The 12611-nt window shown below is 48.6% G+C and overlaps 1 protein-coding gene across 3 annotated transcripts in view; it reads left to right on the top strand.

The window, feature by feature from the left end:
* The window catches only part of GGA2 (golgi associated, gamma adaptin ear containing, ARF binding protein 2), a 60818-nt gene that overhangs the window by 29036 nt on the left and 19171 nt on the right, over positions 1-12611 (top strand). For all 3 annotated transcript variants that reach the window (XM_047433801.1, NM_015044.4, XM_047433802.1), the window contains 7 exons: positions 946-1021; positions 1866-1964; positions 3524-3647; positions 6615-6718; positions 8534-8614; positions 9172-9309; positions 12320-12401. In XM_047433801.1, the coding sequence (XP_047289757.1) occupies positions 946-1021; positions 1866-1964; positions 3524-3647; positions 6615-6718; positions 8534-8614; positions 9172-9309; positions 12320-12401 (704 nt within the window). The remainder of the gene's footprint in view (positions 1-945; positions 1022-1865; positions 1965-3523; positions 3648-6614; positions 6719-8533; positions 8615-9171; positions 9310-12319; positions 12402-12611) is intronic.

Here is a 12611-nt window from a genome sequence, read left to right as displayed (position 1 = left end):
TATAAAACACTAATGCTGAGGAGAACTCTGAATGTTACTGATAGACTATAGACACGTTACCTAATTAAAAGAGATCTGTGTATTCTCCACCATTTAAATGTAATTTTAAGAAAAAGGAAAAGGGGAAGGTTTTATTGAATTCTGTTTCCACAGCATCTGGATAGGACCTGAAGAATCAGAATCAAGTGAGTCATCCAGATGTTTTGTTTTTGTTTTGTTTTCTTTTCTTTTCTTTTTTTTTTTTTCCTGAGACAGAGTGTCTCAAGACTGGAGTGCAAGGGCACGATCTCAGCTCACTGCAACCTCCACCTCCCGGGTTCAAGTGGTTCTCCTGCCTCAGCCTCCCAAGTAGCTGGGATTACAGGCGCGTGCCTCCATGCCTGGCTAATTTTTTGTATTTTTTTAGTAGAGATGGGGCTTCACCATGTTGGCCAGGCTGGTCTCGAACTCCTGACCTCAGGTGATCCACCTGCCCTGACCTCCCAAAGTGCTGGGATTACAGGCGTGAGCCACTGTGCCTGGCCCATCCAGATGTTTAATCTGTGTGGTGTCGCATATTTGGCCAGTTTGAACCCAGAGTTTGATCGCACTTTCTGCTCTAGCATTTCCTAGGTATTTATCACAGCCATACAGGGCCTGTGCTGCTGTGGCTACTCATGGGACTGGGCTGGGACTGGCAGCTTGGAGTTTGGGGGCTGGGGGTTGGCTGAGGGGAGGGCAGTGTGCCCTGGGCAGGAGGAGGACCTTGGGTGCTGTAGGTGCAACCAGGGTGGGTGCGAGGTGGCCCTCTCCAGGGCCCCCGCGTGGCCTGTTTGTCAGGCACGCTCCACCTCTGCTTTTGGACACCAGCCCCTGGAAGAAAAGTGATTTTACTGAGCATGCTCAGCCACTCGGGTTAGTTTCTTTTTGCCCGCCCAGAGTCTAGGTCTTTTTGTTTCCCTGTAGCCCCACACATGCGCCCTGGCTACTGGCCCACAAGATCCAGTCTCCGCAAGAGAAGGAAGCTCTTTATGCCTTAACGGTGAGTTTGGCTTGCCTTGTAGCCTAACCTTTCCTGTCCTTGTGCTATAGAGAGCCGAGAGGCGCTTTGCTTCCACACAGATCCTTTTCACTGGAGAAGGGAGGTCCCCTGAGAGGTTTACCTTCACAGCAGGTTGGAGGAGGGAGATCTGGGCCAGGGTCCCCACCCTTCTTCCTCCTGTTTCTCGTCTGTTTCTTCAGGGCAGCATTGAGTCTACTGTGGGAGAAGGAAAGGAAGGTTTTATTTCATTTGCCCTTCTTAGACCAGGGCTGGCAAGTTCATGTGCCTTTTCTAGAGAGGGCAGTTCTAGCACAGGGCCCACTAGCTGTTGGCAGGTATGAGTATGGGCTCAGGGTTGCTAGTTTAGGTCTTTGTATATGTTTGAGTGTTTAGATGTTGGTGACTAATTTGCAGTGTTGAAAGCCACAGTATGGACGAGAGGAGGGGTCTGCAGGCTCAGCTTGCCTCTTGAGTGCCAGTGGGTGACATCCGGCTGGTCTTGGGCACTGGATACCAGATCTCTGCCTCTGGGGAGGGGTTGGTTCTTTAGCCACTTTCTCCTCTCAAAGGGTCTCCTTAAAAGGTGGGGTGACCTCAGGGTTTGACATACCTCACTAAGCTATTTCCTGGGCATAAACCTCAGGCAGTTATAGCAAGATTGAACAGGGGACATTTTTTTCTTGATCTGAAAACGTCCTCTTCATCAAAACTTCAGTGTCCTCATAGGCTTGAGGCAGGGTTAGCCTTGGTTCCAGCGCAGTCTCCAGCAAGTGATTACCAGCCTGGAGGGGAGCCTGGGACCACTGGCTTTCCACCTTCTCCTGGGGGTCCTGTGTCTGTGCAGGTGCTGGAGATGTGCATGAACCACTGTGGGGAGAAGTTCCACAGCGAGGTGGCCAAATTTCGTTTCCTGAACGAACTGATCAAAGTGTTGTCCCCAAAGGTGAGTACCTGGGCTTGGCTCTGCTGACTGTGTCGCACCTACGCCCACTGTCAAACTCCTGGCTCCCTCCTCAGGCCAGAGGCAGGCCCACGCATGGACAAAACCTGCTCCTGCCTGTGAAAGAAGCGCTCTCCTCTCCAAGCTCTAGGAAGAGGCTCTGCTCATTAGCTGACCCCTGCCCCTCACTGTTAGCATTTTCACATTTCCCTTTTAAGAAGGCCTGGGGAACGTGTGGCCTAGAGGAGATGAGGAACTCCAGCTTGGAGGCACAGGTTCCTGATAGAGACAGTGAGAGATCCCAGGGGTGGCGTGAAAGTTTCCTATCACCTCCTGCCTTGTCCTCTGTACCTGTCCTCCTGGCACCTGTCTTAGCTCAGCCAGTCTCAGGTAACCAACATTGAGCCCTGCCTTGTTGTGTTCCCACAACAGTGCCGATGCTGGCCATGGGTCCTACAGTTCATTTCAGTTCTGACACTCCCCTGAGTTGCATGCTACCCGGACCCCACGCAGTGAGGGCTCAGTGCTGCTTAGGCTTCCTGTGTTTCAGCTGCCAGCCGTGAGTCTCATGTGTCCTCAAGCTGCTGCACTTCTGCATCCCCAGCTGCAGATTCAGGGGTTCCTATGACCCCCACCGCCCCATATTCCATAATTCCCTAGAATGATTCACGTACACAGGAAAGCACTATACTTTCTATCCCTGTTTTATTGTAAAGGATACAAATGGAAGCGATACATAGGCAAGGTCTTGGTGGGGCAAGAGGGGACAGAGCTGCTGTGCCCTCCCCTGGACTCTGAGCTTGCCATCCTCCCAACGTAGGTTCAACTGAGAGGCTCTCTGAGCTTCCTTGTTTCAGTGTTTTCATCTGAGGTTTTTTTGTTTTGTTTTGTTTTTTTACACATCATTGCTGGCTTGAACTAGCACTAGGTTTTATTACCTAGGCATGATCGGTCAAATCATTGGCCACATAGTTGAACTCAATCTCTAGTTCACACCCCCCTGCCCGCCCCACCACCTCCACAGGTGGGGGGATGTGGGGGCACCGGTCAGGGGATGGGGCTGAAAGTTTCAGCCCTCTGATCACAAGGTTGATCTCTTTGGAGTGGCCAGCCCTTGAAGCTCTCTAGGCACTCACTGTAAGTCATTAGTGAAAACTCAGGTGCACCCTGCGAGTGTGTCTCTTGAATAACAAGACACTCTTGTGACTCAGGAAATTCCAAGGATTTTTGAAGTTCTGTGCCAGGAACGGAAACAAAGACCAAATTTTATTATTATATTCTTGTCCAAGGCAAAAAATGACTGTCCCCAGTGGTGTAGAACAGGCTCTGACCCAGGCTCTTGCATGGTGGGGTTTAGTGTGAGTATTGCCGAGATGAATTCCTTGAATCCCAGGAAGGGCTCCGGGGCTGGGCGCCAGATGGTGTGGCCTCTAGTCTCTCCTCACACTCATACCGCGCCTGGGAGCTTGTGTCTCTGGGCCTCAGCAGCTACCTCTTTAGTTAAAGTGTCGGTCTCCCAAGTCCCTTCCAGCTCTAGAATTCTCTTTCCTTTTTACTTTCAGTACCTGGGGTCCTGGGCCACAGGAAAAGTTAAAGGAAGAGTCATTGAAATACTCTTCAGTTGGACAGTCTGGTTTCCGGAAGACATCAAGATTCGAGACGCTTATCAGATGCTGAAGAAACAAGGTCTGACTTGCCTTACTGTGTCTTATTTCCTCTTGACTAGGCCTGTATCTTCTTGCTTTTTCATCTGCCTTATAATTTTTTGTTGAAAGCTGTACTTCTTATGTAGGACCATAGACACTGAGGTAGAGTTTTTTTTTTTTTTTTTTACGCAATAAATCTTTTATCTACTTACCTTTAAAAGCCATAGTGCAAACCTGGAAAGATGATGTAGGGTTTGCTTTTTTCCCTGTTGCCTGGAAATCATAGGAAACCACAGCATGAAAAAGGTCAAAATACAAGCTACCTATGTCACTAAAGCACTTATTTATCTTTTAAAAGACTTGTTTGCCTAAAAACTAACCTTTTGGTTTTTTTTTTTTTTTTTTTTTTTGAGACAAGGTGTTGCCCTGTTACCTAGGCTGGAGCACAGTGGTGCAGTCATGGCTCACTGTAGCCTCGACCTTCTGGACTCCAGCCATTTTCCTGCCTCAGTCTCCCAAGCAGCTGGGACTACAGGCGTGTGCCACCATACCCAACTAATTTTTTCATTTATTATTATTCTCCCACCCACACCCCAACACACACACACAAACACACACACTCTCTTCCTCTCTCTCTGTCTCTGTCTCACTTGCTGTCTCACTTACACCAAATATTTGTATTTTTTGTAGAGACAGGGTCTTGCAATGTTACCCACGCTGGTCTCAAACTACTGGGCTCAAATGATCCTCCCACAGCCTCCCAGGCGTGAGCCACCATGCCCATCTTTAACCTCTTTTCCTGAAATAGTGGAACCTTACTATGAAGTACAGATAAATGCTACCTATGAGCTAGAGTTTGAAAAATACTATTGTGATAAAAGTAACAACGTGCAGACATAAAATATTTTATAGTTACAAAAGATCTTTCAGTAATCATTTAGTGGATTTATTTTTATTTACTTCTTTTTTTTTTTTTTCTTTTGAGACAGAGTCTCACTCTGTTGCCCAGGCTGGAGTGCAGTGGGGCGATCTCTGTTCACTGCAACCTCCGCCTCCTGGGTTCAAGTAATTCTTGTGCCTCAGCTTCTCGAGTAGCTGGGATTACAGGCACCTGCCACCATGCCTGGCTAATTTTTGTATTTTTAGTAGAGATGGGGTTTCACCACATTGCTCAGGCTGGTCTCAAACTCCCAACCTCAAATGATCCGCCTGCCTCAGCCTCCCAAAGTGCTGGAATTACAGGCGTGAGCCACCGCTCCCGGCTGTGGATTTATTTTTAATTGACACATACTTATACACATTTATTGGAGTACAATGTGATATTTTGGTACATGCATACAATGTGTAGTGATCAAATCAGGGTAATTGGCATATCCATCAGTGAGGTAAGGAGTTTTTAATCCCTGGAATTGGGTAGAGCTTTCCTTTTGGTAGACAGGATTTGAGCTGGGTGTGAGATTTGTTGTTGCTGTAGTTACTATATCAGACTTCAGATTCCTCTAGTGTTAGCTGATGTTTAGGTTGGGGGCTAGCTAGTTTGTTAGTTTTCTTCAGTATCTGTTCTCTCAGCTGTAGGTCTTCACTTTCCTCTGCACCTCAGAGAGAGCCTTTCTCCTTGTTCTTGCCACTCGTAGCAGTAGACAGCCATCCCTTGTCAGAGGGATAGGGTGGCGGGCAGGGCCAGTCTCTGTTCTGATTCAGCCTGGTTCTTAGGCAGGCACTGCATCCTGGGTCTTGGTAGGATCTGTTTGTGATCCTGCCTCACCCCAGTGTAGATCTGGGCCCAGGACATAATTCCTGCTCCTCCTCCAAGGGTACTAGGGTTTGTTTTTGTTTTTTCTCCCCTGTTTTTTCTCTAGCTGCAGTGGGTTCCACCGGTGCTCTAAGGCTGCAGGGTTTGTTACTCTTCTCCCCCTAATCCCGCCTTCAGGCCTTCCCGCTGTTTTCGTGAGCCTCTGGAGAAGAGCTTATTTTCTTTTTGTTGCAGCCTCCAGAAATTCTGTATTCTCTTGGTAGCTCACACTGGCCTGTAGACAATTTTTAAATAATTCTAGCTTAGTTGTTACTATTGGTATTGCCTTTTGTCAATCCTTGGAGGTTGTTTTTTTCCTTAGATTTCAGGTTACTTGGTTGTTGCCCTGTGATCTGGGCTCTCTGATGTATTCAGGGAAGCTGTAGGCTGGGCATGGTGGCTCACGCCTGTGATCCCAGCACTTTGGGAGTTTGAGGTGAGGAATCACTTGAGGCCAGGAGTTTGAGACCAGCCTGGGCAACATAGCGAGACCCCCATCTCTACAAAAAATTTTTTAAAAAAATTACCTGGGTGTGGTGGTGCCCACCTGTAGTCCCAGCTACTTGGGAGGCCAAGGTGAGAGGACTGCTTGACCTTAGGAGTTTGAGGCTGCAGCGAGCCATGATCACACCACTGCATTCTAGCCTGGGAGACAGAGCAAGAATCTGTCTCAAAAACAACAAAAATATTGTGAATTTGCACACTTTCCAGTGTTTTGTTGTTGTCACGATGGGGGTGATAGTTCCCACCTTTGTGTGTCCTGTTTGGAAGATGGGAATCTGAATTCCTTTTTATGTTGGGCTCTTAAAAGAAGGAACTCAGGTTCAGGATGGACTGTTGTTCCCTGTCACATACACTCAGCATTTTCAGGAGCTTCATCAGGGACCCTCCAGAAACTTTTGATCCCTGGGAGGTTATGTAGCTGGATAAACTGATCCATGCTTTTACAGCATAAGGCCCACAGACTGCAGGCCTTCAGGACTGGCTCTTCTCTGACATAGTTGGCTCTGCTGTCCCGGCCACCATGGTCCCTTGGATTCTCCTAAGAGATGATGCAAAACTTCGTTCATACACTGGGTGTTGTCTTTGAAGGCTGTTGACAGTGCTTTGCTAGCATGGTATTAGGAACCAGGGGTTTCCAGACTTTATACTGGATTCTGACTGAAGTTTCTGGGTACCATATCGGTGTCTTAACTTTGTAAATTGCATTTTTAGGAATTATAAAACAAGACCCTAAACTACCAGTGGATAAAATCTTACCCCCACCATCTCCCTGGCCCAAGAGCTCCATCTTTGATGCTGATGAAGAAAAGTCCAAGGTAAGGAAACAGACCTACATGGTGTCTGATCAGACCTTTTCTCTTAGGCACTGTAAATGCCCTTTGATGCTTGAATCGGAGTATGGAGGGGGGCAGGTTACATGGGTTCTCCTCTCCAGACAGGCCCTTAGGAGTGAGGTAGCAGAAGGTTTGGGTGCGTTCTTCATGGATAAGTCAACTAATAAGGGCCAGTCTGTTTTGATTCAGCCTGGTTCTTAGGCAGACACTGCATCCTGGGTCTTGGTAGGATCTGTTTGTGATCCTGCCTTACCCCAGTGTAGATCTGGGCCCAGGACATAATTCCTGCTCCTCCTTCAAGGGTACTTTGTGCCCTCTCCCTTTTGTGCACAGCCTTCCTGGGGGAAAGAAGGTGCAGAAGGATAGCCCGTGGGGAGTGTGGGTGATGGATGGGTCATGTCCTGTGTGGGTGTGGTGTTGGGGTGGGGACAGTGGAAGAACTTGCTGCTGTGTGTTGCTTCAGCTCTTTCTCAGTGCCAGTGAGCCCGGCCCTATCCATTTTCCATCCACCATGAACTCCCCAAACCGTTATTCCTTGGACATCAGTATCTAGAGGGACAAGAAGAAGAAGGTGGCCAAGACCCAGGGATAACTGTGGTGCCTGTGAGTGGGGAGCCCTTTGGCCTAGTGCTGGCGGTGCTTTTGGTCATGACTGTTCTTGGTCAGTCACAAGGTCTAGTTCATGGAGTGTTGGAAGGCTACACGCTGCGTACTCGTTTCTGCGTGGTATGCTCTGCCTGTCAACTGCACCCTCTCCCTGTACCCACTCCTTGGGCCTAGATACTCTGTGGCCATCAGGTCCCTGTTGTTAGAATGAGCAAGGCTAGTCTAGGTTCCAGGCCACCTTTCTCCGCTTTCCTCCTGCTTGGTGCCTTAGGTTTGCAGAGGGTGGGAGGAGCTAGGAAGGAGGTATGGTGTGACTTCTGAGAAACAATCCTGTGTCACCAGCCCTCATTATCCCCACTTTTCCTGCCATCCGTCCCACAAAGATTGAGTGACTTCTCTGTGCCAGGCATCCTGCTGGGCGCTGGAAATGAAGGGATGAACAAGATCACCAGGGTCTGTTGTGTCATAAAGCACATGGTCCAGGGCAACTGCAGACCTAGTCCCCTTTTGGGCCAGAGAATTCTCTGTTGTTGGGGACTGTCCTGTGCACTGTAGGATGTTCACAGCATTCCTCACTCTACCCACGAGCTGCCAGTAGCACCCCCTCTCTAGTTGTGACAACCAAATTTCTCCAGACTTAGCCAGACATCCCCTGGGAGAAGTAACCCCCACATCCCCCTACCCCACTGAAAACCAGTGGCAGGCCAGGCACGCTGGCTTACGCCTGTAATCCCAGCATTTTGGGAGGCCGAGGTGGGTGGATCACGAGGTCAAGAGATTGAGACCATCCTGGCCAACATGGTGAAACCCTGTCTCTACTAAAAACACAAAAATTAGCTGGGCATGGTGGCACGCGCCTATAGTCCCAGCTACTTGGGAGGCTGGGGCAGGAGAATTGCTTGAACCCGGGAGGCAGAGGTTGCAGTGAGTCGAGATTGCGCCACTGCACTCCAGCCTGGCAACAGAGCAAGACCCCGTCTCAAAAAAAAAAAAAAAACAACAGAAAAGAAAACCAGTGGTGTATTGGGATAGTCAGAGTGCCTGCATCGTAGTGTCCTTGGACCATTTGGTGAGATGGTGCATGTAAAATGTGTGCACTGTTGTTAGTGTTAACTCTTCTGTTGCTGCTGCTTCTGCTCTAGGCCTGAGGGAGTTGTGGTCTCACCTACTCTTCCTGTTCACTCTCTGCAGCTTCTGACAAGGCTTCTAAAGAGCAACCACCCCGAGGACCTTCAGGCTGCAAACCGGTTAATCAAGAATTTGGTCAAGGAGGTGGGCATTCTTCCAGTTGGTTCAGTAGAAGTAGCATTTGACAGAGGCTGAAGGACAGTGCATATGAGCCTATGCTTGAGGGGTAGAGGAACGGTTGCCTGGGAGAAAGAGTGGCTCCTAGCCCTGAACTCTGGGGAACAGCCATAGTCTCCCTCAAGGGCAGCAAGGTGGTGATTGGAACCAGAAATCCCGCTGCCGTACTTCTCAGCTGCTTTCATCCATGCTGCTCAAAGCATTTCCTAGACACCAGCTTGGGTCCCAGCAACAGGTATTGGTATGGACAAAGTCCAGGTTTAGGAATCTGCTTTTCAGAGGACTTGAGGCTGGTGGCACAAAGGCAGAGGTCATGGTCACCAGTCCCCAAACTGCATTTTCCTCCCCAGGAACTCTGGGCTTTTGAGTATTTTTTCACCCACTGTGTGAGTTCTCCCATGCACTTAACATCCTGGTGATGCCCCTGAGCGAGCTCTCTCAATAGTGACTCTTTCCCATCCCTTGTTCAGGCTTCAGCCAGGGTTTCTGCTCCCTCACTCCCATCCTCCTCTTTTTCCCAAAAGGAACAAGAAAAATCGGAGAAGGTGTCCAAGAGGGTCAGTGCGGTGGAGGAAGTGCGAAGCCATGTGAAGGTGCTGCAGGAGATGCTGAGCATGTACCGCAGGCCAGGGCAGGCCCCGCCCGACCAGGAGGCCCTGCAGGTAATACAGGTGTAACACAGGGGGCTGCACATGTTTACTAAAGTGGGTTTGAAATGCTTTCACCTGTTTGCACCCATGAAGCCATCTCAGAGTCAAGACGGTAAACATATCTGACACCTCCCCAAATGTCGTTGTGCTGCTTTGTCCTCCCTTTGTCTGTCCCTTGCTCCCCAGTCCCCAGGCAGCTGCTAATTTGCTTTCTGTTCTGATTGGCTGACAACTCCCAGACTCTTGTATAAATGGAATGATGCAGTACATAACCCTCTATTTTTGCCTGGTTTCTGGATCTCACTCGAGATCCATTCACGTTGCTGTGTGTAGCAGTAGCTTGTTTCTTATTGCCGGGTACTGTCCCGTCACCTGGATGTACCACAGCATGTACCTGTTGATGGGCCTTGCGTTGTTTCCAGCTTTGGGTGATTGTGAATCATGCTACTGTAAACAATTTTGTACGGGATTTTGTGTGAACATCGATTTTCATTTCTTATGGGTAAATGTCTGGGATTACTAGGTCATATGCTAAGTATATATTTAACTTGTTAGGAAACAAAGTGGCTAAGCTATCTTCAAGGGTGATTGCACCATTTTACAGTCCTAACAGCAGCATATGCAAGTTCTAGCTCCTCCACATCTTGAGATCTTGGTTTTTATATAGCATCTTTATGAGATAATTAACATACCATAAAAGCAACCATCACACCTACCTAGTTATAGAATATCTTAATCACCCCTAAAAGAAACCTTGTACCCATTAACAGTCATTCCCCCTTTCCCAAACTCCCCTTTCCCCAGTCCCTGGCAACCACTAATCCACTTTCTGTCTCTCTGGATTTGCTTATTTGGATGCTTCGTCCAAATGCGGTTGCACAATACGTGGGCTTTCGTGTCTGGCTTCCTTTACGTAGCCTAATGTTTGCAGGTGCATCCATCTGGTAATGTGTCACTGCTTCATTCCTTTTCATGGCTGGATAGCGTTCCATTGTGTGGCTATGCCACAGTTTGTTTCTCCATTTATCAGCTGATGGGCATTTGGGTTGTTCCTACTTTTTGGCTATTATGAATGATGCCTTTGAATTATTCATTACGAATAATGACTTTGAACTTTGTCCAAGTTTTTATGTGAACATAGGTTTTAAATTCTCTTGGGTATATACCTAGAAATGGAATTGCTGGATCTTGGGGTAACTCCATATTTAACATTTTGAGGAACTGCCAAGCTGTTTTCCAAAGTGGCCATGCCATTTTACATTCCCAGCAGCAATGTATTGGCTCCAGTTCTCTGCATCCTGCCAACATTTGCTGTTATCTTTTTGATTGGAGTCCTCCTGGAGGGTGTGAAGTACTGTCTCATTGCAACTTTCTGTTTCTTGATGGCTTATTTATTTCCTATGCTCATTGGCAGCTTGTGCATCTTAGAAGACATGTCTGTGCAAATCCATTGCCCATCTTTTGGATTGTCTTTTTTGAGTTACAAGCGTTTTTTATATATTCTGGATACAGGTTCCTTATCAGACAGTTTTCTCCCTTCCTTTGGGCTGTCTTTTCACTATTTTGATAGCATCTTTTGAAGCGGGAGTTTTGTTTTGTTTTGTTTTTTGAGACAAGGTCTCGCTCTGTCGCCCAGGCTGGAGTGCAATTGCGTGATCTCAGCTCCGCACGACTTCTGCCTCCCGGGTTCGAGCGATTCTCCTGCCTCAGCCTCCCGAGGAGCTGGGATTACAGGAATGTGCCAGCACGCCTGGCTAATTCTGTATTTTTTTTTTTTTTTAAGTAGAGACAGGGTTTCTCTATGTTGGTTAGGCTGGTCTCGAACTCCTGACCTCAGGTGATCCACCCGTCTCAGCCTCCCAAAGTGCTGGGATTACAGGTGTGAGCCACTGTGCCTGGCCAGTAGAGACAGGGTTTCACCATGTTGGCCAGGCTGGTCTTGAACCCTGGCCTGAGGTGATCCACCTGCCTTGGCCTCCTGAAGTGCTGGGATTACAGGCATGAGCCACCATGCCTGGCCTTTTTTTTTTTTTAATGTCTTCCTGGTGCTTTTGTTATCACATCTAAGAAACCACAGCCCAGCCGGGCGCAGTGGCTCATGCCTGTAATCCCAGCACTTTGGGAGGCCGAGGCAGGCGGATGACCTGAGTTCAGGAGTTCAAGACCAGCCTGACCAACATGGAGAAACCCCATCTCTACTAAAAATACAGTATCAGCCGGGCGTGGTGGCGCATGCCTGTAATCCCGGCTACTCAGGAGGCTGAGGCAGGAAGAATCATTTGAACCCAGGAGGCGGAGGTTGCGGTGAGCTGAGATCACACCATTGCACTCCAGCCTGGGCAACAACAGTGAAACTCTGTCTCAAAAAAAAACCAAAAAAACAAACAATCAAAAAGAAACCACAGCCTGTCTGTGCCAGGTTCGAGGCAGCCATGCTGTTGGTCTCCCTTGGAACTCTGTTCTCCACCTCCTTCTGCAGGTCTGTTTCAGCCATCTCCCTCTGCATTCCAGTTTTTTATGTCTCTCTGCACAGGAGGAGAGCCAGCCTCCACGTAACTTCTTTATTTACCTGTCCTTCCACTTCACAAGATTAGTAGAAATGAACTACTGTCTTTCCAAATTCCTAAGAGAAAGCCTCCCGAGTAGCTGGGATTACAGGCACCCACTAACTTTTGTATTTTTAGTAGAGACAGGGTTTCACCATGTTGGCCAGGCTGGTCTTGAACTCCTGACTTCAGGTGATCAGCCCACCTTGGTCTCCTAAAGTGCTGGGATTACAGACGTGAGCCACCCTGCCCGGTCAGATTATTTTATTTTCAGAAATCATACACTTGTAGCCTGTAGTCTTTTTCTGAAACTCTGTCATGTTACTTCAAAACTGCAGTCTCTAAGTCAGGACCATTGGGAGGCCTTCTGAAGCCCCAGACTCTGCCGTCTGCCTGATCGAAGGCTCCTGGGGCCCTGGAGGGGGGCGTTATGGGGTGCCTGGGCGTGTGTCATGAACCAAGCTCTGCTCTTTCAGGTCGTGTATGAGAGGTGTGAAAAGCTGCGGCCCACGCTGTTCCGGTTGGCGAGTGACACCACTGATGACGATGATGCACTCGGTAAGTTTTCTTTCCTTGGGTGTAGCTAGCAGCCCAGGTGCAAGACAGACTCGGTCCCTCCTGTCACACTGCTGTGCCAGGAACAAGACAGAGTGGACTTTCGGTTCCGTGGAGCTTGGGCTTGGGGAGGGTGTGGCCTGAGTTGCCTCAGAACTGACTTCCAGCAGGATCCAGGCTTCAGTAAGAAATCAGCAGCAGGTCTAAAGCCTG

Source organism: Homo sapiens, chromosome 16 (genome assembly GCF_000001405.40).
Source record: "Homo sapiens chromosome 16, GRCh38.p14 Primary Assembly".
NCBI lineage: Eukaryota > Metazoa > Chordata > Mammalia > Primates > Hominidae > Homo > Homo sapiens.
The sequence above is the reverse complement of the archived record's forward strand: the minus strand, read 5'-3'. Positions and strand labels throughout refer to the sequence as shown.